Source organism: Homo sapiens, chromosome 17 (genome assembly GCF_000001405.40).
Source record: "Homo sapiens chromosome 17, GRCh38.p14 Primary Assembly".
In the NCBI taxonomy this organism is placed as follows: domain Eukaryota; kingdom Metazoa; phylum Chordata; class Mammalia; order Primates; family Hominidae; genus Homo; species Homo sapiens.
Genome location: NC_000017.11, coordinates 41,952,035 through 41,979,781, shown reverse-complemented (window position 1 = coordinate 41,979,781; position 27,747 = coordinate 41,952,035). Strand labels below are relative to the sequence as shown.

Sequence of the window (27,747 nt, the reverse complement as noted above, 5' to 3'; positions counted from 1 at the left end):
ACCATATTGGCCAGGCTGATCTGGAACTCCTGACTTCGTGATCCACCCACCTCGGCCTCCCAAAGGGCTGGAATTACAGGCGTGAGCCACCGCGCCCGGCCTTTTTTTTTTTTTTTTTTTTTTTAAGACTGAGCCCAGTCTGGGTGCAGTAGTGCCATCTTGGCTCACTGCAACCTCTGCCTCCAGGGTTCAAGCAATTCTCCTGCCTCAGCCTCCTGAGCAGCTGGGATTACAGGCATCCACCCCCATGCCTAGCTAATTTTTATATTTTTAGTAGAGACAGGGTTTCACCATGTTGGCCGGGCTGGTCTTGAACTCCTGACCGCAAGTGATCTACTGGCCTTGGCCTCCCAAAGTGCTGGGATTACAGGCGTGAGCCACTGTGCCTGGCCTTCCATTGCAACTTATTTATTTATTTAATTTTTTTTTGTTGTTATGTTTTTGAGACATGGTCTTACTCTGTCACCCAGGCTGGTGTGCAGTGGTGCAGTCTCAGCTCACGGCAACCTCCACCTCCCAGGTTCAAGAAATTCTCCTGCCTCAGCCTCCTGAGTAGCTGGGATTACAGGCACCTGCAGCCACACCCGGCTAATTTTTATATTTTTAGTAGAGACGGGGTTTCACCATGTTGGCCAGGCTGGTCTCAAACTCCTGACTTTGTGTGATCCGCCCATCTTGGCCTCCCAAAGTGTTGGGATGACAGGCGTGAGCCACCGCACCCAGCCGGAATTTAAAATAAGAATGATGGTACTATATAGATAATGCTGAGTCCTCTCCAGTTCAGTGTGGGGGTATTTGTGTTTAATAAACCTAGGTTCACCACAATAAACATGTTCCTCTGCCTAGCAGTTAAGAAGATCTATAAGCAGTCAAAAACTAGTGAAGAGGTTTTGTTTTGTTTTGAGACGGAGTCTCACTCTGTCGCCCAGGCTGGAGTGCAGTGGCGCGATCTCTGCTCACTGCAAGCTCCGCCTCCCGGGTTCACGCCATTCTCCTGCCTTAGCCTCCCAAGTAGCTGGGACTACAGGCACCTGCCACCACGCCCGGCTAATTTTATTTTATTTTATTTTTATTTTTATTTTTTTTAGTAGAGACGGGGTTTCACTTTGTTAGCCAGGATGATCTCGATCTCCTGACCTCGTGATCCACCCACCTTGGCCTCCCAAAGTGCTGGGATTACAGGCCTGAGCCACCACGGCCAGCCGTGAAGTTTTAAGTAGGGGCACTGTGGACCAGATTTTGGCTCTGGAAATATATTTGTGATAGGGGTGAGGAGGTTGGGGTTGGAGGGAGTAAGGAGAATGGAGATGGAAGGAAGACACAAAAGGTAGGAAAGGATTGGAGGGCACAGTCAGGGAGTTAGTTAGTGGTAGACTCAGCAGGAGTTGGTTGCTATTCAGATGTGTTGGGGAAAGTGACAGGCATAGCTGACTCGGGGTCATTCACTAAGCCAGGAGCCCAGGAAGACACACAGATGCAAGCAGAGAAACTCACTCTGGGCACGAGGTGGCTGTGGGATCACCTGGTGGGGGTCAGTCCTTCTGTGAAGCTTGGGCAGTCAGTCAGGGATGGGGCCACCAGACATGCTGTGGCCTTGCAAAAGTGCACAGAGCCAGTCAGGCAGGAGTTGGATTTTCCAGTTCTGCTGCTTTCGCTGCCATGTGATCGTGGGCAAGTTACTTGAACCACCTACATATGTTTTGTTGAGTATTAATTGGGAATGATACTTACCCTGACAAAACATTACTAGGATTAAGTAATGTAATGTATGCAAAGTACCTAGTACTTTGCACCTAGTAGGTGTTTTTGTTGGTTTGTTGTTGTTATTAAGACAGGGTCTTGCTGTCACCCAGGCTGGGGTGCAGTGTTGTGATCATAGCTTACTGCAGCCTTGAACTCCTGGGCTCAAGTGATCCTCCCACCTTAGACTCCCAAAGCACTGGGATTATAGGTGTGAGCCACCACGCCCAGCTAATAAACCATAGCTTTTTTTCTAGCCTAGAGTCTACGGAGTAAAAGACATGGAATCAAATACAGTAAATCCTAGATCTTGCTCTTATATTTATTTTTGGTAACATTTAAGTGATACATTTTATCCTTTTTAGTAGCCGCTCCAGCATTATAGGGAGACAGAGTATGGGGAAAGTCTTGTGTAAGTGCAAATGGCATTCCATTTGTTGAGAAAACAGCCCAATGAAGCAAGCTGAAGCAGAGAAAGCTTCCTTTGGGGCAGCAGTTGGAAGGAGAAGGGAACATGTCCTAGGAGTGGGATCAGGTAGCATGTTTTGCACGGGATGGGGCAGGTTTGCTCACTTGCAGTCTGAAGTGTTGGGAAAGGAGGGGAGTGAGACTCTCCAGGAAAGCTTTGGAGATCTGTTCTCAGTGTCATCAGTTCTCTTCGAACATTTCTAATTTTTCACCTTTTCTTCCCTTCCATGTTACTTGCCCTGCTCTACAGATTTTGATCCAAACAATATCTTCAAGGCATTCTTTGGCGGTCCTGGCGGCTTCAGCTTTGAAGGTAGGTGGGCCTGCTGTTCTTGGGAGTTCCCAGATCACAAGCCAACACACTCATTGCCTCTTAGGCAGCTCTTTGGGAGTCAGAGGGGCCCATGAGCGGGGGCAGCTGAATTCTCATCTAGCAGGGCATCTATCCACTCGGCTGTTGCTAAGGATGAAGACAGGAAGGTTCCCAGGCACCCCTTGCCTTGGGACCTTTAGCCACCGCATCTCTGCAGGGTCAGGGAGGCATCTCTAACTGCCTAGTACCAAGGCTTCTCTGCAAGAGCAAAGGTACTATATAGATAATGCTGAGGTCAGAAGCTACCCATGTATAATACAGTCACGTGCTCCCTCTTGCACCCAAAAACAGCCTGAGCTGTTTGATACCCATAGAGTTTCTCTCTGTGTTTGAGTTTGAAGCAGCCCTTGAAGACTTTTCCATAATCAGAGCAAAGTGATCTTCCTTAGAAAATCCATAGCCAACTACCAACCCCTCTTTTCTCTTTCAGCATCTGGTCCAGGGAATTTCTTTTTTCAATTTGGCTAATGAAGGGCAACCACCCAGAACCCAGAAAATGCAGATTCACTCAGTTTAATCTTGAATGTGGAAACAGTTCACCTCCTCCCTTCATCACGTCTCCGTGTGCTTAGAGCAGTTTCGTTTTCTCAGTTGGATGCCCTGTGTCTCTGTGAGTGGGGTGGAGCAAAGGGAACCAATGCCGAAGACCGAGGGCAGGGGAGGGAGGCGGGGGTGGACAGGGAGGCAGCTTGTGAATTTTTGTTTTACTGTTTAACTTTATTAAAAAAGAAAAAAAAAAGAGAATAAAATGTTTTGACCCTTCCTGGCCCTTTGCTCTGGCATCTGCATTGTCTCCAGTCTGTGAGCCAGAGCTGAGCCCGACCTGGACTTGGGGTGCAGCAAGCTGCTGCATGCGGGCTGTGGGCACCCAGCCTAGTGGCAGGTGGGGCACTCTGCCTCTCCCAGACCTGTCCAGCATGTGAGTGCTAGGCAGGCCCCGGCTGTGCCTCTGGGCCCAGCCTAACATCAGTCACAGAGAAGCGAGTTCAGAAAGCATGCTCACTTTACGGTGGGGCCCCAGAAATCACTAGAAGCTGTGTGTGTCCAAAGCTCAGGTGGGTACTAAAAGCTGTGTGCGTCCAAAGCTCAGGTGGGTACTGACCTAGACAGGGCAGTTTACTTACAAAGACTCTCACAGTTCCTGTTGCAGTGTGGGTTCGAGGGAGATGGTAGACAGAGATAAAACCCTGCCTCCTGACCCCCAGACCCATTTGAGGTGGGACAGGTGGCTCCAGAGCTCTGGTCTGGCCACTATTTTTAGCAAAAGCCCCTGGCCTTCTCTGCTCCCTTTCTGCATGCAGGAGACACACTGCTCACGGATGCAGCGGCATGCACCATGCTGTCCTGTCAAGCGTGGTGTTCAAGGTGAGTAGCCTTCCCAGGAGCTCCAGGCACAGACTTGAAGCTCTAGCTGAAGTTCAGAGATGGCCAGGGACAGGCCTTGACCTAGAAAGGTAACTTAGGATTTCTCTTCATCTGAGCTCCTGCCCCTTTCTTTCAAGTCTTCCCCGGCTGGTGCCTTAGCCATGGTGGAATGATGCCTGAGTCAGGTCTTGGAAGTTTCCCATGTGGCTGACTAGGCCTCTGATGGCCTGGAAGGGACTCAAATGTTAGATCTTCCCTGGTGCTTGAAGTTTCAGTGACCTGCAGGTGGCCTTCCCTAGAGAACTGGGAGAAACCCATACCAGGAGCTTCCGGTCTTACTGAACTCTTTCTGATCCAGTGGGCTGGGGACACCTGTGGGCTTGGTGCCCTGGTTAATGGGGGATGAGAGGCTTTTGTGCTCCACATCCCTCGTACCCAGCCAACCCCCACCTTCTGTATGAGTCTGAGGCCAGCCTCTGCTTTCTGCCTCCTCATGAAAGCCAACACTGTTCAGCTGCCCAACCTCACCACAGCTGTGCCCGGCCAGCAGAGGGGAGACAGGACCGATGGCCCCAAGCTGTGGGACAAAGCCAGTCCTAATACACCCAGCCCTAGGGAAGACTGAGCTGGGCACAGAAGGGTAAGAGAGACTGCACACAGCTAGGATTAACATGATTTATTTCATTATCAGTCTTACAGGTTGCTGAGGTTGGGCAAAGCCAGGATAGTAACTTAAATCCAAAGCACTTTTGTTGAGTGACAACCCGATTAGCAAGGCCCTGTTACTGAACAGAGGGCAGTGGAGGGCACCCCAGGAACCACAGCACACAGACTAGTGTTAGAAACCCCTTCCCAGAAGCAACCGGTGGGACTTGGCCCTTACCAGCCAGGGGTCTACTCCATTGGCTCTTGGTGCCCACCAGCCCCTGTTAGAGGAGGCCCAGAGGCCTCCAGAGGCACCATGGAGGCAAGATGGGCTGGGTAGAGAGCAGGACTGGAGCTTCCTCACCAGGGTTCTGCCTCTGGCCCCGATCTCCCCATCCACACAGCGGAGCCAGGCCACTGGAAAGGACAGCCAGTCCAGCCCCTTCCTGGAGTGAGGCCCCCAGCCAGCGGGGATGTGGCGGCTGCTTAACTGTTCTGCTTTCTTCCCTAGTTATCAAACTGTTACCTAGTTATGGTGTGAAGGGGAGGGGGCAGGGACTTAGGACCAAAGGTGGGAGGTAAGCTCCTTTTTCTACCCTGGTAAATAGCCCCAGCCTTCTTGGGGCTACACTGATTAAGAAATGGGATCACTCAGGAGGATTGCTTGAGCCCAGGAGTTCGAGGCTGCAGTGAGCCATGATCGCACCACTGCACTCCAGCTTGGGAAATAGCAGGACCCTGTCTCTAAAAACAAAGAAAAAAGACAAGGAGATGGAATCAAAGCCCAGAGGTCCTCCCCTTCTCAGAGCCACCACTAGTTCTCTGTGACCATGGAAAACTACCCCCAGCCCCACTGCCTTTTGCCTCCGGTCAGTGGGTTTTGCGGGGCTCTGAGGTGTCTCCCCACTCACCCAGCTCTGGGCAGAGCAGCTGGGCTGGGCTGGGGCTGAGCTAACCAGAACCTGGAAGTAGGGCTCGGGGTTCTGGCTGTGGCCCCATCCCTGGCTTGGCCCAGCCTCGTCAGCTTTGGTCCAGGTTCCTGAATGGTGCCTCCCTGCCCACCTTGTGTTGGGAGCGTGAGCATTAGAGGGGAAGAGGGCGGACAGGAAGGGAGGGTCAGTTATTTTACAAGTTTTTAAAAAGTTACAGGTAGGTTAACTTTGAGTAAAAAAAAAAAAAAAAAAAATGTCACAAAACAAGGATCAAACAGAGGGCACGTTTCCCTCTCCCCTTCCCTTCTAGGGGCATAAGTGGTGGTGAGAACACTCATATGATGGTGCAGGACTGCAAGGCGCCCCCCTTCCGGCTACCTTGCGTGGGCACAGGTTTGCCTTTCCCGTAGTACCCCGTGAAGATGGCCCTGACCTCCATGTTCTTGGCCAGGGTCAGCATCCAGCGCCCATTGCCCAAGGAATAGAGCTTGCCCCGGCTTAGCTCGCCCACCTCCTCGCCTCGGCTGCCCCCCTTCTCCTGCCGCAGAATCTCTAAGAGGTCAAGGCCCGTCTGCACGGCCTCTACGTCAGCTGCACAGCCGAGGGTGATGTGGGCGCGGCTCCCCCGCGGCAGGTTGTCAGTGGGTGACAGCTTGTCCACATCACTCGGCCACAACTGCAGTTGCTGCTCGCTTAACTCCACCCGGGCCCCAGTCGTCTTGGGTGTCACAAAGAGGGCAGAGATGGTCAGCGTGAAGGCCTTGGAGTAAGATTTCTTTAACACCTGGGGAGAGTGAGAAAGAGGGGCCCAAGCTAGAGATGGCAGGCTCTTGAGGAACAGCTGACCCAGGGAGGGTCCCTCCTGGAGGAGAGAAGGGGAAGTCTAACAGAAGTGAGCACAGCTGAGCAGGGGTCGGTATAGGCCCAGCATCCACTAACAACTGCGGCACGCACCTTCCATAGGCGCTCCAGGCTCAAGTGAGAAACACGAAGGCGCTCAGACAGGGCCACACGGGGACAGCCGGACTTCCTGAGGGAGCCCAGCTCCCTGCACACTGGCTTCCGGCCTCAGCGGGCTGGCTGACCTCTCGGTGCCTTGGCTTCATCACCCGTAAAACAGGGAGAACCAGAGCCTACCTCAGAGTTAATGTGGTTATGAGAGTGACTAGGTAAACAGCCCACAGGGGTGTCCGCGCACACAACAGCTGCTACTGTTGGCACCGCTCAGCTTCCCCTGGGACCCAGACAGCGCCCTGGAGGACAGGGTGAGGTCAGACTGAGGTCAGACTCGCCCTTGATGGAAACCTGCTCTTACACTTTGGTTCCCATCTGATGATATGTCTGCTTCTATCTGATTCTTTGAGACAGCCCATCCCATCTCAGCATAAACGCTTTTCTATTTTTGCTCACGATCCCTTGTCCCAACAGTGTCTGGCATGAAATGGGTAGTTAATAAATGCTAAATGAAGGCATGGTTAGGGATGGTAGCTCAGGTGTTACATATTCATTCCACTATGCTAGGGTGCTGGAACCACAGGAGTCAACGAAACTTAAAAACTCGCCCTCAGGGGAGCTTCCATTTGGGAGGACACTCTAGTGAACAAACAAACGATTGTGCTAACCTAGGCAGAGAAGTGGGAGAGTGGGCTTGGGGGTGGACACTTGGAAGTTGGAGACTGTGGATATGGGTGACATGCCTGGCATTCAGGGATCACTGTCAGTGGCTGTGGGTGTAAGGTGCCAGCTGTGTGGTGCAGAAAGGTCTCGTACCCATTAGCCAATAAGCTTCATTATCGTATGAAACTCCCTCACTCTGGGGCCAGGCCAGACCTCAGACCTGGGGACAGGGATGGGGACCTCAGTGCACCAGGCTCCCTGGGGGCGAAGGACTCCTAGTCTTTGGAAGGTAAAACAGGCTCAGAGAGACCAGAGCAGGAGCCCACTGTGGACCAGCATTCTCCATGAATCTGCAGAAGGCGAAGGTGCTTGGGGGCAGGTGAATGCACAGGCTGGCAGTACTGCCAGGGCAGGCTCCTTAGAACCTGCGGCTGAGGTCTATGCAGCTACGCCTGGGGACAGGGGAGCTAGGAGGAGGAGATGCCATTTTTCTTGAGCTGCCATCTGGTTTTTGGTCCCTGCCTGGCACCGGTACCTATCTTCAGAAGATGCTGCAGCCCCTTCTCCCCCAACCTCCCACCTCCCCCATGTGTCCCTGGGGAAGACTCACATCTTGTTGAGCGTACTCCTCTGCCCCGGGAGCCTTCCCGTAGTCACAAAACTTGGTTGTGCAATGCAGCACGCCTGGGGGTCTCTTTCCAAAGTAGGTGACCAAGTCCATCTTCTCCCTGGGCTCATCCCCAGGGACGACTGCCGGGAGAAAACGGGTGCAGTCAGGGCAGGGGAGCAGGGGCATACCAACATCCGCCACCAGGACCACCGAGGCCCAGCGCAAAACACTCGGACACTAAGCATCACCTCTCCAGCAACCCACTACAGCTCATTCATTGGTTAGTTGGTCAAACTAATGGCAACTTTAGAGCAATAAAAAGTTAAAATTCTCAGGCCAGGTGCGGTGGTTCACACCTGTAATCCCAGCACTCTGGGAGGCCGAGGTGGGTGGATCACAAGGTCAGGAATTCAAGACCAGCCTGGCCAAGATGGTGAAACCCCGTCTCTACTAAAAATACAAAGAAATTAGCCAGGCGTGGTGGCGGGCGCCTGTAATCCCAGCTACTTGGGAGGCTGAGGTAGAGAATTGCTTGAACCCAGGAGGCAGAGGATACAGCGAGCCGAGATAGTGCCACTGCACTCCAGCCTAGGCAACAGAGCAAGACTCCGTCTCCAAAAAAAAAAAAAAAAAAGTTAAAATTCTCTGGCTTTACATTGTATAGATCTTTCCATCTCTTCTCCAAACTCTAAGGCATTTGTAACAGAGGCAGGCAGTACAGGCCAAGGGAATCTAAGATTTACTAGCACCACGTCTCAAAGGGGAAGCAAGTCATGGGAAGTGGGGTGGAAAGAAAACAGAGGGCTGGGAACAACATGGTACGGTGGAAACAGCCAGAACACAGTGAATATCTCAGCTCTGCCATGTACCAGCCATCGGCCTCGGGCAAGTGACCAACCCTATCTATCAATCCAGCACAACAGTTAGGGTGACCATATACCCCAGTGTTCCCAGGACCACCAGGGAACTATCAGTAGTGCCCCATTTCACTCAGGGGCCCATCTGGACAAGCAGTCACAACGTCACCATCAGTTTAATACACACCTTGCAGGCCTATGGGGGGGCCTCCTGGTACAGGAAGGGTCTTGGACTATAATGGGGTGACATTATGGGGCTGGAAGACACAAAGAGGAGTGGAGTATCTGTGATTTTGATTTCCAGACTCCACACCTGTGGCTGTCTTTGGAGTCACTCGCTTTTTCCTGTTATGTTCTGAATTGAGTCCCCATGAGGATGTCTCGCCCTCCACAGGGGAGGAAGGCCTCTCCTGAGAGCAGCCTTGCTGGCCCATTACATTTCTCCTGCTCTAATCCTGGGCAGAAAAATCCAGTTTTCCTTTACAAATAAAATAGGCTGGGCATAGTGGCTCGCACCTGTAATCCCGGCAATTTGGGAAATTGAGGCGGGGCGTTTGAGACCAGCCTGGCCAACATGGTGAAACCCTGTCTCTACTAAAAATTTATAAATTAGCCAGGTATGGTGGCGGGTGCCTGTAATCCCAGCTACTTGGGTGGCTGAGGCAGGAGAATTGCTTGAACCCGGGAGATGGAGGTTGCAGTAAGCCGAATTGCCCCACTGCACTCCAGCCTGGGCGACAGAGCAAGACCCCCGTCTCAAAAAAAAAAAAAAAAAAGATCTGGCAATCATCCTGTCAAGCTTGATTCGTCCCATCTTGGGCCAAGGGCCCCTCCTTTCTTTTGTGCTACCGACCAGCCTGGTCAAGATGGTGAAACCCTGTCTCTACTAAAAATACAAAAATAAAAAAAAATTAGCCGGGCATGGTGGCAGGCGCCTGTATTCCCAGCTACTTGGGAAGCTGAGGCAGAGAATTGGCTTGAACCCAGGAGGCGGAGGTTGCAGTGAGCCGAGATCATGCCACTGCACTCCAGCCTGGGCAACAGAGCAAGACTCCGTCTCATAAATAAATATTAAAAGCAACTTTGAGCAGTAGTCACTCCAGGGCAGAGCCACCAGCTCACAGGTACAGGGCTTGCTCCTGGCCAATGTCACTGCAAGCACCACAGTTCACTGCAGAGTTCAAGTTTAGGAGCTGAGAAAAAAGCTCTCTGAGAACCCATACAGGCACAAATTCCCTGCTTCTGTGCAATATACACAATGTCAACAAACCAGAGTGGGGCTATTTCAGGCATGAAGATCATCTAAAATTGGGGGTGGCTGGGTGCGGTGGTGGCTCACGCCTGTAATCCCAGCACTTTGGGAGGCCAAGGCAAGCGGATCACCTGAGGTCAGGAGTTCAATACCAGCCTGGCCAACATTGTGAAACTCCGTCTCTACTAAAAATACAAAAATTAGCTGGACGTGGTGGTGCACACCTGTAGTCCTAGCTACTCGAGAGGCTGAGGCAGGAGAATTGCTTGAATCTGGGAGGCAGAGGTTGCACTGAGCTGAGATAGCGCCACTGCACTCCAGCCTGGGCAACAGAGGGAGACTCCGTGTCACAATAAATAAATAAATAAAATTGGAGGCAACCAGAAATGGCCTAAAGGCATATAGATGGATTAGTGGGTGGCACTTCTCCAACAGGTCACTCCAGGAGAGCCACCAGGACCCTTCTTTATCTCAAACCTATCATTGGAGCAAAAAGCCCATGCCAAGAGAGAACCCTGCTAGAGTGGCCAGAGTCCAGGGTTCCAGCCCGTAAACCCCACATCCCTCCTGGGTCCATGTTTTTCCATCTGAAAACGGGTTTTGGCCTAAGTGTGAGACTTGTGTCCTCTGGAGCTGCAGATGCCACAAACCCATGAGTAAATTGAGCAGTCCGAGGCCTGAGAACCATCCCCAGTGAAGCCACAATAGTCCTAGTTTTAATTTTTTTGCAGCTTACAATTTCATGTGATTATTATTATTATTTTTTGGAACATGATTCTGCTGCTAAAAATGCGTTGGAAAACACTGGGCTTGATTCCCCCTCTAAGGTTACATTAGAAGAGGACATGTTTCCTGTTACTACAGTAATTTGTTTTTCCCACCTCCAAGACAAGGGACAGTGGTCTACATTCAGGCTGGGAAAAGGGTGTCGGAGAGAAGAGGGCTAGAAGGATAGGTGTGGTGGGAGGAAAGGCGCTCTGGGAAGCCCCCGTGTTCCCAATGTGCTGCCAACTCCCCAAGGCTACCACTGGGACGCACCGCTTGCCCCTGCCCCCGCTGAGGTGAGCCTCTCTCTGCCTCCTGCTGCTTCGTGCTCCATCCTTTGAGTACAATGATGGTCCTTTGCCCGCAGCACCCTGTGCCCAGCAAGGTGGGCTTATAAGGCCCCAACCTGCCACCTACATTGTCGCAGCTCCTTCTTGAAGGCCTTGTGGTTCCCCAGCTCTTCCAGGAAGACCTGGCCGGCTTTGCGGAGGGTCTCAGAGCTCTTCTTGGTCAGGAACCAGCCGAAGTAGAGCGGCAGGAAGTCCTTCTCCAGCCCAGGCTTCAGCTTCTTCAGGTCATCAGCCGACAGCTGCCACTGGTTCTTCTCCTTGAGCTGGGCACAGTCCAGCCGCCACGCCGTCTTGGGCTCCACCAGCACCACCTGGTACTGGTACTGGTCGGCCATTTCAAAGAGCTGCTCCAGCCGTTCCCGTTCGTGGTTGGTGTCATCAAGCACAAGAATTCTGATGTCCCGGCGGCGGCAGTAGGCAGCCAGGTCCTCATCGAGCCGCTTGTACTCCTCGGAGAAGGCTCCTCGAGCGCCGGGGGTGATCTTGTAAGCGTCAGCCGACACCATCTTGGTGCCATCACGGTACTTGTCCACGATGACCCGTGCCAGCGTGGACTTGCCGCTTCCTGGCAGGCCGCGCAAGATGAAGAGCGTCTTGCACTCTAGCAGCGTGGCCACTGTGTCCTCATCCTGAAGGAAGGGAAACTGCAGCTCAGGCTTGTCCTTGGCCCCTGAGGATGACATCTTGCGGAAGAAGATCTTGGGCAGGAATGTGTGGCTTTTTCGGGAGAAGCCTCTGTTCTGTGTAAGGAGGGGAAGAGATGTCAGCCCAGGTCATTCGCGGGCTCCCCGCCGGCCTTACCCCTAGTCCCTAGACTGGTTGTGGGTGCCTTCCCAAGCGGGGCAGTGCTGGACCTTCTTTCCCTTTCGGTCCGGGAGCACCTTTCCGCTTCTGGTCGTGGAGGAGGAAGAGGGAAGCTTGTCTGAAGCTCTCCTAAGCGTGCGCTTTCCCCATTCCTGCCACTTCGGAAAGGTAAACGTGCTGGAGGCATGCGGGGCGCGCCAGGAGCCTGCGGTTCTGGGACTGGCCTCACTCTTATATGCTTGGCACCTACTAAGGACGTCCTCTTTGGAGGTGGGGGTCTCTGTGTCTGGGCCAAGCCACAGCTGCCACGGCTGAGTGCACAGAGAAGGGGGGGAGTGGAGAAGGGTTACCCCAAGACTGCCTCCCTTCCCCCAACAATGGCCGCAACAGATAATACTCTCTTGTCTGGCATGCGGGTACAATGGTCCCACAGAAGGGCTGGTGGGGGGCAGGGCAGGAGAGCACTGGACAAAGGCCCTCTTTCACCAAGCCTGCCACCTCCTCCTCTACCCTCTCCCGGCCCCCACAAAGTCGTGGTCTTTGTGCCTGTCCAGAACAGGGCAGCACAGGGCACCTGCAATTAGGATCCAGCTCTACCCGCCGCTGTGCTGTGTGTCAGAAGCGCCTCTCGGAGCCACTTGTTTTCCTATCTTCTAGAAGCCACAAGGGACGGCAGCTTTTACCGTAAAGGGTCCCCTCCTCTGAACTGGCTCCACCTCCCGCCCGCACCCGGGCGCGGGGCAGCGGTTCCGCGTGATGAGACTGGGCCCGGGGAGGGGGCGCCGAAGCGGCTGCCCCAGCGCGGGCCTGCGTGGGGTCGGGAGCAGCTCCCGGGCTCCCGGCCCAGGCCCACCCAGGCTCCCAGAGGCGCAGCAGCTTCTGCGGTCCCGAGTTCCCTCCTGAGAAACACCACCGTTTCCCTTTACAGCGGCCTCTCCGGCACCCCAAAACCCCTCCGCTTCTCCCAGACCTCAGGGCCGCCCTGAGTACCAAGAAAACTGGAAGTCGAACCCGGAGCCCCGGGTCCTCGTTTGCAAGACGCTTCCTCCCGAGGGGCCCCGACACTCGTTTCCCGCCCTGGTGCTACCCCGTGCCCGGCCCCGCCCGGCCTCTCACCATGATGAGGAGGGGCGCCACCGTCGCCGCCTCTGCCGGCACCAGCGCTCCGGGGCCGCCCGCCTGCGCGGAGGGACACGGGAGTCCAGCGGTGGCACGACCCGAGCCCGGCCGCTTTACATAGCCCGGGGGGCGGAGCGGGCACCCGGGCGGGCTGGGGGCGGGCCGTCTCCTCTGCGCGCAGGCGCTGCGAACCAAAACCCGAAACTCTCGCCGCGCGCGGGAACCTCGGCCCGGTCCCGCCCCCTGCGCGCGCCTGCTCCCCACGCGCACCCACCCACTGCGCCTGCGAGCTGAGCGGCCACTAGCTTTTTCTGCGTGTTGAGGGGTAACTCAGTCACCCTCCCCGGTCCCGTGGATTAGCAGGAAGTGAGTGAGGCAGGGTCGTGCAAAGTCGGATCCTGTCTTTAATTTTTGATATTTTATTCATCATGGACTTTTGCATTAATTAAAAACTTTTTTTTTTACCACATTGGATTAAAATATTATCATGCAATTTGCTGGCATTCCGGTAAACTCTGCATCTGAAATGCCTCACTGGCCTCATTCGTCCAGGCCCTGTGCCAGCCGAAAGTCAGTCTCAGCCCCGACCTTTCCTTCTAGGAGCTGTGGAGACAGACCAGGATGGCAATGGCCAAAGGGACAGATGAGTAACGGAGTGAAATCCTAACATCCTCTGAGGCCAGATCCTCAGCTGCCACCTCCTCTGTGAAACCACTGAGAGCTCCGTTGGATTTTTGAGTTTCCTGTCCAAGTGCTGTGCTAAGCACTCAGTCCTCGCAGCAACCCCTGAGGCAGGTATCCCATTGTTCAGAGGAGAAGCCAGCTTGGAGAGCCTGATTTACCTGATTATGCCACCCAGAGGTGTCAGAGGCGGAGTCTGTCTGCCCTCCCGACTCCCAGGCCACTCCCCTATCTTTGGCCTCACTCCCAGCATTCGCTTGGTTCTGGCTTGCGGCATTCTCCTACCTGTGACAGCTGGGGCCGCCCCACCACTGTTCCATCCATAAAGCCTCCCCGCTGTCCTGCGCACTGGAGGGACTCAGTCAGTCACCGGTGTGTGGGAAGCACCTCTCCTCCCAGGCCTTCCCCTCTCCTCCCTGTGACTTCTTGTTCCCTGTAGCGCCCGTATCTTCACCCTCCTGAAACCCTTTCTTCTTGGCACCTTTCTCATTTCTTCCACGATGCTCTTCCAAGAATGGGCAGGGGTGAAGAGGCAAAGTGACAGACTCAGGGTTTGCAAGAGTGAAAGACACCTATTTAATGGCAAAATAGTGATGGAAAGCAGCAGAAGTAAAACCCTCATTTTTCCTATAACAGACAAATCGCTTGAAAATCCAGTTTAATAAAATCCCATGATCCCTCTGAACACCAGCTTCCTGATCCTCATCTCTACCGATGGCTTCATTCATATTCCTTTTCCATCTCATTTCCTGTTTTTTTCGTTTCTCCTATTTCTCCAAATTGTGTTTTTCCCAGTTCTTCTGGCTCTCTTCTGCCCACTTCTGAAAGTTTCTTTAGTTCTTCTGGTTCCTGTCTGCTGAATTCTCCTGAGAGTCTTTGCTCTAATTCTCCCGAAGGCCTCCTATAAATTTCTCTTGACTCTCTTCTGCCAGCTTCTAGTAGCTTCCTGCCTGTTTCTCCTGATCTTGTGCCTAATTCTCCTGACAGGCCCTTGGCAACTGCTCCCAAATCGCTTCTGGCTTTTCCTGCTTCCACACTCTGCTTTCCGCTTGCTGGGCTCTGCAGAGCTTCCCCAAAAGCCTCATCGTCCTCATCTGTCTCTTTCTCATCCTCACTATGGTCCCACTGCTTCACCACCTTCTCGGGCTCATCTCTCACTCTCCTCATGTCCTTCTCTCTTGTTATTATTCTATCTTCATACAGTGAAGCTTCTGAAAAATAAGAGAAAAGCGGGAAGAAAGATAAAAGTTTGTTCATGTCAGGCCGGGTGCGGTGGCTCACGCCTGTAATCTCAGCACTTTGGGAGGCTGAGGCAGGCAGATCCCTTGAGGCCAGGAGTTCCAGACCAGCCTGGGCGACACAGTGAGACCCTGTCTGTACTAAAAATACAAAAATTAGCCAGGCGTGGTGGTTGGCGCCTGTAGTCCCAGCTACCCGGAGGCTGAGGCAGAAGAATCGCTTGAGCCCAGGAGGTTGGGGCTGTGATGAGCCAAAATCCAGCCACTGCACTGCAGCCTGGGTGACAGAGCAAGACCCGTCTCCAAAAAAGAAAGAAGAAAAAAAAGAAAGAAACTGTTCATCTCTGTGGAGGCCTGTGCTTTTGAGAGGCCGATGAGAGAAAGGCCCTGAGAATGACTGTTTTTGCCAGCTCTTTAAATTGGTGTTGACAGCACACCTTTCCAAAAGCAGAGAAAGGGAACCATCATTGACTGAGCCCAGCTCCGTCCTGTGCATCACGTGAGGGCTGTATAGCTTATCCCATCCAGACATCATGAAAATGCGCACTGCCGTTGATTTGAGTTTGCAGTCAAGGGACCTGAGATCGATAGAAAAGAAATCACACGGCCGGGCGGCATGGCTCACGCCTGTAATCCCAGCACTTTGGGAGGCCGAGGCAGGTGGATCACCTGAGGTCAGGAGTTTGAGACCAGCCTGGCCAACAAGGTGAAACCCCGTCTCTACTAAAAATACAAAAATAAGCTGGGCATGGTGGCAGGCGCCTGTAATCCCAGCTACTTGGGAGGCTGAGGCAGGAGAATCGCTTGAACCCAGGAGGCGGAGGTTGCAGTGAGCCAAGATTGTGCCATTGTACTCCAGCCTGGGCAACAAGAGCAAAACTCCATCTCAAAAAAAAAAAAAATTAACCGGGAGTGGTGGCACAAGACTGTAGTCCCAGCTACTCAGGAGGCTGAGGCAGGAGAATCACTTGAACCTAGGAGGCGGAGGTTGTAGTGAGCCGAGATCGCGCCACTGCACTCCAGACTGGGTAACAGAGGGGAGACTCCATTTCAAAAAAAAAAAAAGGCACAGTGGCTCATGCCTGTAATCCCAGCACTTTGGGAGGCTGAGATGGAGGTTGCAGTGAGCTGAGATCGCGCCACTGCACTCCAGACTGGGTAACAGAGGGGAGACTCCATTTCAAAAAAAAAAAGGCACAGTGGCTCATGCCTGTAATCCCAGCACTTTGGGAGGCTGAGATGGAGGTTGCAGTGAGCTGAGATTGCACCACTGCATTCCAGCCTGGATGACAGAACAAGACTCCGTTTCAAAAAAAAAAAAAAAGAAAGAAAAGAAATCACACAATGGTCACACTGCAAGTGTGCAAGTGAGACAGAATTTGAACCCAGGACAGTCTGACCCCAGAACACCTCTTTTCCCTGCAAGAAATAGCATAGGTGCTGGAAAATGACAGAAGGATTTTCTCCAGCATCTTCATTCTGACACTTTCTCTTTGTCCCTGGGAAGCACATTCATTATTTGTTGGGAGGTTTCCTATGAAAATATAGAAAAAACATAAGGAAAAAGATAGGTTTCCTATAAAGATATACGCTGCTAACAAAAAGTTCAGCTGAAGAGTTATTTTACAAGCAAAGGGATCCTTGCTCCTAAATTTTTTTTTTTATCAGTTATGGAGAAAAGTTACATCCCCTTCTGCGTCTCCCTTACATTCTCCTCCTGGAAACCACTAGTTACTGAGGTATCTGCAGAGGGTCTCAGGTCTCAGGGGGTCACAGCCCTTTGGTGGTGAAAACAGATGCAATGCTGCCACCTGCTGTTCTGAGAGGGACGTGCCCGGCAGTTCTCCAGGCACAAGGACGCAGGCCAGGGTAGGGAGACTGGGGTGTTGGCTGCTTCCCCGCAGAGTCTCTCTCCACAGCTGTTGCTCCTGTGGCTTCTCAGAGCAGCTCAAAGGGCATGTGGGGGCGGAGACAGAGCCCCTCTGAGGGGGTCCAGCCACCACAGAGCAGGTGCTGGATAATAAAGGGCTGTCATCTGGCTGCTCAGGTGCCCAGAAACCTCCCGCTGCCCTGCCTGGACCAGAAAGGATTTCAGCCTTGCAGCCTGGAGGGCTGCAGCCAAGAATCTGCATTGGGCTCTGTCCTCCCGGACCTCCAGCCCCAGCTCTGTTCACTGCAGTCTGGCTGGAGTGAGAGCTCCACAGACTGGGGCAGGAAAAGGCTGTCTGTGTCACTAGAAACAGTGTGGCACGGGCCGACGCGTGGGTTCTAGAGCAGACTGCCCAAGACTGAAAACCACTGTAGCCTCTAACCCCTCTGCCTCCATGTCCTCCATAAAGTCAAGCTAATAACACTTCCTTCATAGTGTTCCTGAACAGATACAGATAGGATGAGTCCGTGCACACAGTCTTTGAAAGAATGCCTGGCCTGCGGGAAGCATGAATGGGGGTCGGCTACTGCGCTTAACACCCCTGTTCCTCTAGGCCCCTCTCCAGTGGGGTAGGGCTGCTCAGCCATCTTCTGCTTCTCCTTCCCTCACTCCCTCCCTGCAGGAAAGGAGAGCCCAAAGGCAGGGGGCCAAAGGCCTGTTTACTCCCTGGAGACCTTGTGAGAAAGAATGTGGTAAGGCACAGCTGTCAGGCAGCCTCTGCACCTTATGCCCCTCTGCACCTGCCCATCACACTGCTGGCCCGAGAGCAGCGCCGCAGGTGGGGAGAGTGGGGCCCCGAGTCACCCCTCCCTAGCTACATGACTCTGGCAGAGCACTCACCTCACTCAGCCTCCCTTTCCCCCCACAGCACCTACACCTCCTAGTGGGGTAAAGACCCAACAAGATCACTCCTGTCTGGTGCTTAACCCAGTGCCTAGCACACAGTAAGAGCCCCCAAAGTGTAGCTACTGTTATTCTGTCTCTGTGCCTCTGGCCCTGCTGTTCCCTGCTGGAAAAATGCCTTTCTTCTCCCACTTCTCTCCTGGAAAACTCCTGGGCATCTTTTGGAGTTGGAGGTAGAAGATTTTTCCTCGTCGAAGCCTCCTCTGCCTCCCCAGAGGAGCCCACGCCCCGTTGCATGCACCCTCATGGCAGCACACCTCCACCTCGGTGTAGCACCTGTGTGCAGGATCCCAGCAGCTGACAACTCCACTGGTCAGCCTTGCCCAAAGGGCCATGGGCTCCTCCAGGGCAGGGATGGGCCTCTCTCCCCAGAATCTAACACCTTCCAGGTACATGACAAGTGCTCACCATATACTTGATGAATCAATTGAAGAGAGAAATGAGTGCGCTCTGGGGCCAGACAGTCCAGCCCATGGTGGGCTGAATCCTCACCCTCTACTGCCCCAGAGATAGGCTAGGGCTGCTGGTGGCACTGAAATTAGAATGCACGATGGGCAGTGCCAAGCCCCCAGATTGGGGAGCTGCTGTCGCATGTGTCTCGGACTAGAGGAAAAGAAAGCAGAGGGAGAATGCTGAAGTTGCCTTTTCAGAGTTTCAGGAACTCACCTCCCTCGCTTTTTTCTTTGAGATTCTCCACGTAGTTGGTTTTCCTCAGTTCTCTGATGATACCCTTGTTGGCATCGTCCAAGGCCTGTGGATGGTAGAGGGAGCTTAGCCCCTGTGTTTGGCACCTACACCATTAATTTTCCCCACCCAGATCAATCCCAGAAGGCAGGGCTCTGGTGGGAACCTGCCACCCTTGGTTTCCCTCTGGCCCCTCCAATGACCCCTACCCTCAGGTTAATCTACACTTACTGACTCAGAATGATCCACACAAATTGTGTCTGGGAGATACATGACTGCGAGTCAGTCAAATGCATTTCTCTTTGGCTTAGGCATGTATTGGGAGTTGTGTCTATCTACTCATTTCTACCTTTAGATGAACTACCTAAAGCTGCTTTTGGCTTCAGTCAATGCAAAAAGACAATCCAAACCTGCAAGCACTCAGCAAGGCAGCACTGAAAAGACCCAGAAACACACCAAGGGGACAGGCTGGGGGCTGGCCTGCCTTCAGAAGGGCCTTCCAGAATGTCTGCAGTTTCCCCAACTCGAGTGCATGATCCACAGGGGCCTGGAGCCCCTGTGAGCCTCTGGAGGGCAGGTCTTGCCTTCTTGCTCATAGCAGGCCCGTGGCTGGCACTGACAGAACACCAGCTACACATGGTAGTGTCTACTGAGCAGCTCCGGGGCCTGGATGCACTCTCTTGTGGTGTTGGTCTGCCCACCCCCCACCTCCCTCCCACTGTGAGCCTTCCTACCTGGAGTTGCCAATCCAGGAGGGTGAGGGGTCGGGGGCCTGGTCCCATGAGGAGTCAGTGAGGGTCACAGGTACCTTCTCTCTGCCCCTAACCCTTCAAACTACTGCCTAGCCTTCAAGGTGACCTCAGATCCTCCTTGTTGGAAAGCCTCCAGCTCTGCCTCCCAGCTGGGGCTCTCTCACTCTGAATTCCCCTAGTCCCCTATGGCACTGGTCATGAACCAGGGTTTGTGCTTTGTTTTTTGTTTGTTTGTTTGTTTTTTTTTTTGAGACAGAGTCTCGCTCTATCATGCATGCTGGAGTGCAGTGGCACGATCTCAGCTCACTGCAAGCTCCGCCTCCTGGGTTCACGCCATTCTCCTGCCTCAGCCTCCTGAGTAACTGTTTTTTTGTTTGTTTGTTTTTTCTTTTTAAGAGACAGGGTCTTGCTATGATGCCCAGGCTGGTCTAGAACTCTTGGACCCAAGTGATCCTCCTGCCCTCAGCCTCCCAAAGTGCTGGGATGACAGGTGTGAGCCACTGTGTCTGGCCTTTCGTTGTAATCTTCTTGTGGGCTAGGACAATGGCCGCACACATTTGAGCTTGGCAGCCTGGAGCCAATCTACACTCGGCGAATATTTCCTGAACTGAACGGCCATGCTGTCTGTCTGCAGGGCGATCACATGGAAGTATGTGGCGCATGGTACATCTGGCAGGGCTGCAGTGAGGTGGGTGCTCTTCGCCTGGAAGCCAGAGCTGGGGACATGGCATTTATGACGAGGACGACAACATGCTAGGCCTGGGCTTCCCTGGGCCGTATGGTGGCAGAGGATAGACTGCGCCTGCTGGGGTCTTTTGGGTATGATTTCTCCGCCATGAGAGGGCAGTGTTAGCCTTACCACAGTCCTCACAAACAGCTCACCATGAACCTGCCTCCCAAAAAACAGAGGTGATCAGATCACTTCTCTGCTGTCCACAGCCCTTCAAGTCCAGGCTGGTGTGCTGACTGTCTGGGGCTCTGTCACCACCATCCCCCGCCACCGGGAACCCCCCAGCTCTGGGACCCAGGCCAGGATCTCTCTTCTGCCGGCCACCAGCCCTCAGCGCCGACCTCCCACGTCTTCAGTGCACTTGCCCCTCCTCGGCCTGGCCAGCTCTGCTATCCTTGTCCTTCAGAGCACAGCATGAGGTCTTCCTCCCACTGGGAGTGTCCTGAGCCTTCACTTCTCAGGGTCCCTGCTCTCTTTGCCCAGTGCCTGCAGACCCCAGGCTGGTCCCTGAGGCCATGCCCCTTTGCTGCCCACAAGTTATGCAATCTGGCTTCTTTCAATGATGGCATAAGCTCCCCAAGGACAGGGGCCCCGTTTACTTCACTCCAGCAGATACTTCCTGGGGTCCAGCTGCGTGCCAGTGGTGCTCTGGAATTTGGCTGTGGGAAGGGCTTAAGGAAGCTGTCTGGTCAGAAGCAGGAGGAAGAGGCCTGGGTGAGTGTGCACCTGTGAAGTTGGTGTGCAGACTTTACTAAGCTTGTGCGTCCACCTGGATGCACTGGGAGTGGGTGGGGTGGGGGAGCCCAGAGCACCTCCAAGTTTCTCCCCTGGTCTCTGCCTCCTGACACAGTCTAGGCCAGCACTATTCAACAGAAATTTCTGTGACAATGGGAATATTCTAGATCTGTATTATGTAGCACCCATAGGCCACATGTAGCTTTTTTTTTTTTTTTGAGACGGAGTCTCGCTCTGTCGCCCAGGCTGGAGTGCAGTGGCGTGATCTTGGCTCACTGCAACCTCCATCTCTCAGGTTCAAGCAATTCTCCTGCTTCAGCCTCCCGAGTAGCTGGGACTACAGGAGTGTGCCATCACACCTGGCTAATTTTTTGTATTTTTAGTAGAGACAATGTTGGCCAGGATGGTCTCAATCTCCTGACCTCGTGATCCACCCGCCTCGGCCTCCCAAAGTGTTCGGATTACAGGTGTGAGCCACCGCACCCGGCCTCACATGTGGCTATAATGACTTGAAATGTGGCTAGTGTGACTGAGAATTTTACATTTTATTTACTTTTTTTTTTTTTTTTTTGAGATGGAGTTTCGCTCTGTTGCCTAGGCTGGAGTGCAATGGCATGATCTTGGCTCATGCAACCTCCACCTCCCGGGTTCAAGCGATTCTCCTGCCTCAGCCTCCCAAGTAGCTGGGACTACAGGTGTGTGCCACCATACCCGGCTAATTGTTTGTATTTTTAATAGAGATGGGGTTTCACCATGTTGGCCAGGCTGGTCTCAAACTCCTGACCTCAGGTGATCCATCCATCTCGGCCTCCTAAAGTGCTGGGATTACAGGCATGAGCCACCACACCCAGCCTAGTTTTAATTAACTTTAGCCTCACGTGGCTAGCAGCTGCCTCCTTAAGCAATGGAAGTCTAGGCAATTACAAGTGCACAACGTGGACTTTGATGGGGGACATATCAAGGCTGTGAAACCTGATGTGAGGGCTCCTCACCCAGACTGAGGGGTCAGAGAAGGCCGCCTCAAAGAGGGGACATCTAAGCTGAAACCTAAAGGTTGAGTGGGAGTTAGCCAGGTGAAGGAGGTGGGAAGGGAAGGTTTAGAATATTCCAGGCAGAGATAACAGCATATGTTATGAGGCATAAGAAACCTGTTTAGGCCGGGTGTGGTGGCTCACACCTGTAATCCCAACACTTTAAAAGGCTGAGACAGGAGGATCGCTTGAGTGCAGGAGCTCTCAAGTGCCCAGCCTGGGCAATATAGTGAGACCTCATCTCTACAAAAAATAAAAATTAAAAATATCAGCCAGGCATGGTGGCCCACACCTGTAGTCCCAGATACTTATCTCTTGAGCCCAGAGATCAAGGCTGCAGTGAGCTGTAGTCACACCACTGCACTGTAGCCTGGGTGACAGAGCAAGACCTTGTCTCAAAAAAAGAAAAGAAAAAAGAAAGCCTGTTTAGGAAGACAGGAAGCTGGTATTGGCTGGAGCTGGAATGCAAGGTGATGGGGGCTGGGGACTGACCAGCAGGAAGCTGGAGAGGCCCACAGGGGAGAGCTTACCCAGTGCCTTCCTACCCCTGTGGGAAAAAGTCAGGAACAGAGACAGCCAGGAAGTAATAAAAGGTTTAGGCAAGAGAATGAGGAAATCACACTAGATTTCTTGTCTCCTGGAGGTGGTATTTTTCAAACTGCAAGTCCTAACGTCAATTTAGACCCTGGGCCACTGACTGGTCCATGGCCTGTTAGGAACCGGGCCACACAGCAGGAGGTAAGCGGAGGGTCGGCAAGTGAGCATTAGGCTGTCAGATCAGTGGCGGCATTAGATTCTCATAGGAGGGAGAACCCGATTGTGAACGGCACGTGAGGGATCTATGTTGCATGCTCCTCATGAGAATCTAATGTCTGATGATCTGAGGTGGAACAGTTTCATCCCGAAACCATTTCCCCCACCACCGGTCCATGGAAAAACTGTCTTCTGCAAAACTGGAGCCTGGTGCCAAAAAGCTTGGGGACTGCTGATAAGAGAAAATGAGGGCTGGGTACAGTGGCTCAGTCCCAGCACTTTGGAAGCCCGAGGCAGGAGGATCACTTGAGTCCAGGAGTTTGATACCAGCCTGGGTAACAGAGTAAGACCCTGAGTCTACAAAAAATAAAAAATTAGCCCCCAGCATGGTGACATGCATCTGTAGTCCCATCTAGATGGGAGGCTAAGGTGTGAGGATTGCCTGAGCCCAGGAGGTCAAGCCTACAGTAAGCTATGATCTCACCACTGTACTAAGTCTGTGTGACAGAGAGACACTCTGTCTAAAAATAAATACATAAAAAGCAAAAAGAAAATAAGAAAATAAGGCTAGGCACAGTGGCCCATGCCTGTAATCCCAGCACTTTGGCAGGTCAAGGCAGGAGAATCATTTGAGGCAAAGAGTTTGAGACTAGCCTGGCCAACATACTGAGACTCCGTCTCTACTTATTTATTTATTTAGAGACAGGGTCTCGCTCTGTCACCCAGGCTGGAGTGCAGGGGTGAGATCACTCCTTGTTACAGCCTCAACTTCTCAGGCTTAAGTGGTCCTCCCACCTCAGCCTTCCAAGTGGCTGGAGTGAGTCACCACACCCGGCTAATTTTTTTTATTTTTTAGAGATAGGGTTTCGCCATGTTGCCGAGTCCCAGCAACACGTTGGGTCCCAGGCTAGGTCCCACCATACATGGCCCCATCTCTATTTAAAAAAAAAAAAAAAAAAAAAGGCCGGGCATGGTGGCTCATACCAGTAATACCATCACTTTGGAAGGCCGAGGCGGGCAGATCACCTAAGGTCAGGAGTTCGAGACCAGCCTGGCCAACATGGCTAAATCCCATCTCTATTAAAAATACAAAAATTATGGCCAGGCACAGTGGCTCACACCTATAATCCCAGCACTTTGGGAGGCCGAGGCAGACAGATCATTTGAGGTCAGGAGTTCCAAACCAGCCTGGCCAACATGGTGAAACCCCATCTCTACTAAAAATACAAAAATTAGCTGGGCGTGGTGGGGGGGCGCCTGTGATCCCAGCTACTCGGGAGGCTGAGGCAGGTGAATCGTTTGAACCCGGGAGGCGGAGGTTGCAGTGAGCCAAGATCACACCATTGCACTCCAGCCTGGGTGACAAGTGAGACTCAGTCTCAAAAAAAAAAAAAAAAAAAGCTAAGTACAGTTTACACGTGTAATCCCAGCACATTGGGAGGCTGAGGAGGGTGGATTGCCTGAGCTCAGGAGTTCAAGACATAGTGAGACCTCATCTCTACAAAAAAATTTTAAAATGAGGCAGGAGGATAACTTGAGCCCAGGAGGTCGAGGCTGCAATGAGCCATAACAGTGCCACTGCATTCTGACCTGGCCAACGGGAGTGAGACCCTGTCTCAATAAATAAATAAATAAATAAAAATAAGAAAACAGAATGTAATAGGAAATATCAGCATGCAGAGTACGTAGCAGAGGTAAATATATTTTGTAAAATTTTTGTTTCTGGCTGGGCACAGTGGCTCACGCCTGTAATCCCAGCATTTTGAGAGGCCAAGGCGGGCGGATCACAAAGTCAGGAGATCGAGACCATCCTGGCTAACAGTGAAACCCTGTCTCTACTAAAAATACAAAAAATTAGCCAGACGTGGTGGGGGGCGCCTGTAGTCCTAGCTACTTGGGAGGCTGAGGCAGGAGAATGGTGTGAACCCGGAAGCGGAGCTTGCAGTGAGCCGAGATCACGCCATTGCACTCCAGCCTGGGCAACAGAGCAAGACTCTGTCTCAAAACAAATAAACAAACAAACAAAAAAACGGCTGTGGAATGGCGCCCAAGCAGGCTGAGGGGGAACTGAAGGCCTGACCACCCAACCCCACTCCTGACACCCGAAGCCCGGCGGGTGGAAAGGCTCACACTGATGATGGCCTGCTGCGCCTCGTTGTTATGCACAAGCTTTGCTCTCTCCAGGGCCTTCTCAAAATTGTTCACGGCTGACTCGAAGTCTCTCAGCTTCACTGGAGAGCAAGGGGAGAAGGCACAACACAGGTAGAGTGTGACAACGTGTGGTGCATGATGGAGCCTCTGGCTACTCGAGCACTGCCAGGGCCCATCAGAAGCTTGTGTGAGCTGTAGTCGGACCCAGGCCCCAGGGAAGCATCACTGAGCTGCTCAGCACCATCCTTTCCACCGTGTTCCTGGGCTATGTCACCATCGAGAACCAGGACTGAGGAACCTGGGCCTCATTCAAAGGCGTTGGTGAGAGAAGGGGACTGTGGTGCAGTCTAGTGCATACATCATATGTCTCCAGAGTGGAGGAGAAAACCGCATCCTGCTCCATCTTTAGATTGTTCTGGAAGACGAATTTTTTTTTTTTTTTTTTTGAGACAGAGTTTCACTCTTGTTGCCCAGGCTGGAGTGCAATGGGGCAATCTCGGCTCACTGCAACCTCTGCCTCCCAGGTTCAAGCGATTCTCCTGCCTCAGCCTCCTGAGAAGCTGGGATTACAGGCACATGACACCACACCTGGCTAATTTTGTTTTTTAAGTAGAGATGGGGTTTCGTCATGTTGGTCAGGCTGGTCTTAAACCCTGACCTCAGGTGATCCACCTGCCTCGGCCTCCCAAAGTGCTGGGATTACAGGTGTGAGCCACCGCTCGGCCAGAAATTCATATTTTTTAAATGGTCATTCATTTTTTTCAAAAATGATATGCAGACCAAAGCACAGAGGGCTGGATGCAATCCATGGGCCAGCTGCTGGAACCTCAGCTGTCTCGAGTCCAGGCCCCACTCAGGTACAATCTGAACCCGTAGAAAAAGCGGCTCATCTGGGCTCTCCGTGCCAATTAGTGCTGGAGCTGGGACTGAAATGATTAGCAGATTGATTGAGTGATTGATTTGAGCCCTCAGAGCTTCATTTCATTTTAAAAAATTAAATACATATGTCAGGCCGGGCGTGGTGGCTCACGTCTGTAATCCCAGCACTTTGGGAGGCCAAGGTGGGCGGATTGCTTGAGGTCAGGAGTTCGAGACCACCCTGGCCAACATGGTGACATCCCCATCTCTACTAAAAATACAAAAATTAGCCAGGCATGGTGACGGGCGACTGTAAACCCAGCTACTCGGGAGGCTGAGGCAGAAGAATTGCTTGAACCTCAGAGGCAGAGGTTGCAGTGAGCCGAGATCGCGCCACTGCACTCCAGCCTGTGTGACAGAGCAAGACTGTCTCAAAAAAATTAATTAATTAAAAATAAATACATACATACATAGGCTAGGTGCGGTGGCTCACACCTATAATCCCAGCACTTTGGGAGGCTAAGGCAGGCGGATCACTTGAACCAGGAGTTCAAGACCAGCCTGGGCAACATAGTGAGACCCGATCTCTACCAAAAATACAAAATTAGCTGGGTGTGAGGCCGCATGCATGTAGTCCCAGCTACTCGGGAGGCTGAGATGGGAGGATCCCTTGATCCCAGAAGGTCAATGTTGCAGTGAGCCCAGATTGCACTGCTGCACTCCAGCCTGGGTGACAGAGTGAGACCCTGTCTCTCTCTCTCTCTCTCTCTATATATATATATATAATTAAATTAATAGAGACAGGGTCTCACCATGTTGCCCAGCCTGGTCTCGAACTACTGGCCTCAAGCAATCCTCCACCTTGGCCTCCCAAAGTGCTGGGATTACAGGCGTGAACCACCTCACCTAGCCAAGAGCTTCATAAAGGAGAAAGTGCTTACCAGCCAAGGTCTTCACAAACCACTGCTTTCTTTTACAATTGAGTATATCCAAGATCTATCCTCCTCCCAAGCACTGCTTTGAGACCCATGGGGAAAATAAGCCCTTGTGTTCATAAGTCAGACTTTAAAAGGTCATTACAGCCAGTCGCGGTGGCTCACACCTGTAATCCCAACAATTTGGGAGGCCAAGACAGGCGGATCACAAGGTCAGGAGATTGAGATCAGCATGGCCAACATGGTGAAACCCCATCTCTACTAAAAATACAAAAATTAGCCAGGCATGGTGGTGGACGCATGTAATCCCAGCTACCTGGGAGGCTGAGGCAGAAGAATCGCTTGAAATCGGAAGGCAGAGGTTGCACTGAGCTGAGATTGCACCACTGCACTCCAGCCTGGGTGAAACAGCGAAACTCCATCTCAAAAATAAATAAAATAAAATAAAATAAAACGCCATTACACTTGGCTAGACACAGCGGCTCATGCCTGTAATCCCAGCATTTTGGGAGGCCGAGGTGGGAGCACTGCTTGAGCCCAGGAGTTCCAGAACAACCTGGACAACATAGGGAGACCCCGTTCTCTACCAAAAAAAAAATTTGCCAGGCATGGTGGCATGCACCTGTGGTCCCAGCAACTGGGGAGGCTGAGGAGGGAGAATCACCGGAGCCTGGGAGGTTGAGGCTGCAGTGAGCCATGAATGCAGGGACGTGACACTGCACTAAAGTCTGGGTGATAAAGCAAGACTCTATCTCAAAAAAGAAGAAAAAAAAGGCTATTACACTTAAAGGAAATTTAAGTGTAATTCTGAAAATATGTGGAGTCGCAGTATTCCTTTCAAGACCAGTGGGACTCTGACATTAAAGGTCTGCAGAAGAGTCACATGCTTATTCAAGAGAGTAAATCATTCAGGATTATTCTTTCATTCTTTCTGTTTTTTTTTTTTTTTTTTTTTTTTTTTTTGGAGTGAGGGTCAGGGCCTCGCTCTGTATCCCAGGCTGGAATGCAGTGGCATGATCATGGCTCACTGCGGTCTCAACCTGGGCTCAAGTGATCCTTCTACCTCAGCCTCCCAAATATTTGGGATCACAGGTGCCTGCCACCACACTCAGCTAATTTTTTTTTTTTTTTTTTTTTTGATACAGAGTCTCATAGTCGCCTGGACTGGAGTGCAGTGGCACGATCTCAGCTCACTGCAACCTCCGCCTCCCAGGTTCAAGCAACTCTCCTGCCTCAGCCTCCCGAGCAGCTTGGATTACAAGCATGCACCACCACGCCCGGCTAATTTTTTGGATTTTTAGTAGAGATGGGGTTTCACTATGTTGGCCAGGCTGGTCTTGAACTCCTGACCTTGTGATCTGCCCACCTTGGCCTCCCAAAGTGCAGGGATTACAGGCATGGGCCACTGTGCCCCGCCCTAATTTTTATTTTTTGTAGAGATGAGGTCTCTTTAAGTTGCCTTATTTTTT

At 52.4% G+C, this 27,747-nt stretch overlaps 3 protein-coding genes across 14 annotated transcripts in view, besides 13 other annotated features; 1 reads left to right on the top strand and 2 right to left on the bottom strand.

The window, feature by feature from the left end:
* The window catches only part of DNAJC7 (DnaJ heat shock protein family (Hsp40) member C7), a 41,005-nt gene extending 37,658 nt beyond the window's left edge, over window positions 1–3,347 (top strand). For all 6 annotated transcript variants that reach the window (NR_029431.2, NM_003315.4, XM_011525167.4 and 3 more), the window contains 2 exons: window positions 2,459–2,521; window positions 3,012–3,347. Coding sequence is in view for 5 of the 6 variants with exons in the window: in NM_003315.4 (NP_003306.3) it covers window positions 2,459–2,521; window positions 3,012–3,049 (101 nt within the window). In the remaining variant the exon portion in view is untranslated. The remainder of the gene's footprint in view (window positions 1–2,458; window positions 2,522–3,011) is intronic.
* Window positions 2,042–12,987, bottom strand: CNP (2'',3''-cyclic nucleotide 3'' phosphodiesterase). Of its 3 annotated transcripts, none has more exons than NM_033133.5 (4): window positions 12,895–12,987; window positions 11,042–11,714; window positions 7,751–7,890; window positions 2,042–6,307 (listed from the first exon to the last, which is right to left on the bottom strand). In NM_033133.5, exons 1-4 carry the CDS (start codon window positions 12,895–12,897, stop codon window positions 5,858–5,860), a joined length of 1,266 nt encoding a protein of 421 aa, NP_149124.3. In that variant the 5' UTR covers window positions 12,898–12,987; the 3' UTR covers window positions 2,042–5,857. The 3 variants fall into 3 exon arrangements, with proteins under 3 accessions (NP_149124.3, XP_011522642.1, NP_001317145.1); XM_011524340.3 differs by lacking the exon at window positions 12,895–12,987 and adding an exon at window positions 12,769–12,850; NM_001330216.2 differs by lacking the exon at window positions 12,895–12,987 and adding an exon at window positions 11,829–11,985.
* Window positions 2,859–2,938: an enhancer, noted in NCBI's record as "active region_12179". NCBI's record gives its function as "activates an Ori minimal core promoter by ATAC-STARR-seq in GM12878 lymphoblastoid cells {active_cell/tissue: GM12878}" and the evidence as "EXISTENCE:reporter gene assay evidence [ECO:0000049][PMID:35858748]".
* Window positions 6,490–6,609: an enhancer, noted in NCBI's record as "active region_12178". NCBI's record gives its function as "activates an Ori minimal core promoter by ATAC-STARR-seq in GM12878 lymphoblastoid cells {active_cell/tissue: GM12878}" and the evidence as "EXISTENCE:reporter gene assay evidence [ECO:0000049][PMID:35858748]".
* Window positions 10,840–11,397: an enhancer, noted in NCBI's record as "H3K4me1 hESC enhancer chr17:40120403-40120960 (GRCh37/hg19 assembly coordinates)". NCBI's record gives its function as "activates a minimal SCP1, AML or CMV promoter by ChIP-STARR-seq in naive H9 embryonic stem cells {active_cell/tissue: H9 hESC(naive)}" and the evidence as "EXISTENCE:reporter gene assay evidence [ECO:0000049][PMID:30033119]".
* Window positions 11,398–11,955: an enhancer, noted in NCBI's record as "H3K4me1 hESC enhancer chr17:40119845-40120402 (GRCh37/hg19 assembly coordinates)". NCBI's record gives its function as "activates a minimal SCP1, AML or CMV promoter by ChIP-STARR-seq in primed H9 embryonic stem cells {active_cell/tissue: H9 hESC(primed)}" and the evidence as "EXISTENCE:reporter gene assay evidence [ECO:0000049][PMID:30033119]".
* Window positions 11,956–12,513: an enhancer, noted in NCBI's record as "H3K27ac-H3K4me1 hESC enhancer chr17:40119287-40119844 (GRCh37/hg19 assembly coordinates)". NCBI's record gives its function as "activates a minimal SCP1, AML or CMV promoter by ChIP-STARR-seq in primed H9 embryonic stem cells {active_cell/tissue: H9 hESC(primed)}" and the evidence as "EXISTENCE:reporter gene assay evidence [ECO:0000049][PMID:30033119]".
* Window positions 12,485–12,674: a silencer, noted in NCBI's record as "silent region_8508". NCBI's record gives its function as "represses an Ori minimal core promoter by ATAC-STARR-seq in GM12878 lymphoblastoid cells {active_cell/tissue: GM12878}" and the evidence as "EXISTENCE:reporter gene assay evidence [ECO:0000049][PMID:35858748]".
* Window positions 12,805–13,244: a silencer, noted in NCBI's record as "silent region_8507". NCBI's record gives its function as "represses an Ori minimal core promoter by ATAC-STARR-seq in GM12878 lymphoblastoid cells {active_cell/tissue: GM12878}" and the evidence as "EXISTENCE:reporter gene assay evidence [ECO:0000049][PMID:35858748]".
* Window positions 13,279–27,747, bottom strand: part of ODAD4 (outer dynein arm docking complex subunit 4) — a 35,887-nt gene continuing 21,418 nt past the window's right edge. For 4 of the 5 annotated variants that reach the window (NR_146622.2, NR_146621.2, NR_110662.3 and 1 more), the window contains 3 exons: window positions 24,465–24,565; window positions 18,316–18,400; window positions 13,279–14,789 (listed from right to left, as the gene is read on the bottom strand). Coding sequence is in view for 2 of the 5 variants with exons in the window: in NM_031421.5 (NP_113609.1) it covers window positions 14,299–14,789; window positions 18,316–18,400; window positions 24,465–24,565 (677 nt within the window). In the remaining 3 variants the exon portion in view is untranslated. The remainder of the gene's footprint in view (window positions 14,790–18,315; window positions 18,401–24,464; window positions 24,566–27,747) is intronic. The other variant, NM_001350319.2, reaches the window with a different exon arrangement.
* Window positions 13,615–13,714: an enhancer, noted in NCBI's record as "active region_12177". NCBI's record gives its function as "activates an Ori minimal core promoter by ATAC-STARR-seq in GM12878 lymphoblastoid cells {active_cell/tissue: GM12878}" and the evidence as "EXISTENCE:reporter gene assay evidence [ECO:0000049][PMID:35858748]".
* Window positions 16,547–16,696: a silencer, noted in NCBI's record as "silent region_8506". NCBI's record gives its function as "represses an Ori minimal core promoter by ATAC-STARR-seq in GM12878 lymphoblastoid cells {active_cell/tissue: GM12878}" and the evidence as "EXISTENCE:reporter gene assay evidence [ECO:0000049][PMID:35858748]".
* Window positions 18,418–19,023: an enhancer, noted in NCBI's record as "H3K27ac-H3K4me1 hESC enhancer chr17:40112777-40113382 (GRCh37/hg19 assembly coordinates)". NCBI's record gives its function as "activates a minimal SCP1, AML or CMV promoter by ChIP-STARR-seq in naive and primed H9 embryonic stem cells {active_cell/tissue: H9 hESC(naive and primed)}" and the evidence as "EXISTENCE:reporter gene assay evidence [ECO:0000049][PMID:30033119]".
* Window positions 19,024–19,629: an enhancer, noted in NCBI's record as "H3K27ac-H3K4me1 hESC enhancer chr17:40112171-40112776 (GRCh37/hg19 assembly coordinates)". NCBI's record gives its function as "activates a minimal SCP1, AML or CMV promoter by ChIP-STARR-seq in primed H9 embryonic stem cells {active_cell/tissue: H9 hESC(primed)}" and the evidence as "EXISTENCE:reporter gene assay evidence [ECO:0000049][PMID:30033119]".
* Window positions 19,630–20,235: an enhancer, noted in NCBI's record as "H3K27ac-H3K4me1 hESC enhancer chr17:40111565-40112170 (GRCh37/hg19 assembly coordinates)". NCBI's record gives its function as "activates a minimal SCP1, AML or CMV promoter by ChIP-STARR-seq in naive and primed H9 embryonic stem cells {active_cell/tissue: H9 hESC(naive and primed)}" and the evidence as "EXISTENCE:reporter gene assay evidence [ECO:0000049][PMID:30033119]".
* Window positions 20,236–20,843: an enhancer, noted in NCBI's record as "H3K27ac-H3K4me1 hESC enhancer chr17:40110957-40111564 (GRCh37/hg19 assembly coordinates)". NCBI's record gives its function as "activates a minimal SCP1, AML or CMV promoter by ChIP-STARR-seq in naive H9 embryonic stem cells {active_cell/tissue: H9 hESC(naive)}" and the evidence as "EXISTENCE:reporter gene assay evidence [ECO:0000049][PMID:30033119]".

Excerpts from the sequence above, each read along its gene's own strand:
- CNP (NM_033133.5), bottom strand. Across the intron at positions 7,891-11,041 it reads CAAGAAGGAGCTGCGACAAT|TCGTCCCTGGGGATGAGCCC; the intron begins GTAGGTGGCAGG and ends TTCTCCCGGCAG. Across the intron at positions 6,308-7,750 it reads AGGAGTACGCTCAACAAGAT|GTGTTAAAGAAATCTTACTC; the intron begins GTGAGTCTTCCC and ends CACTCTCCCCAG.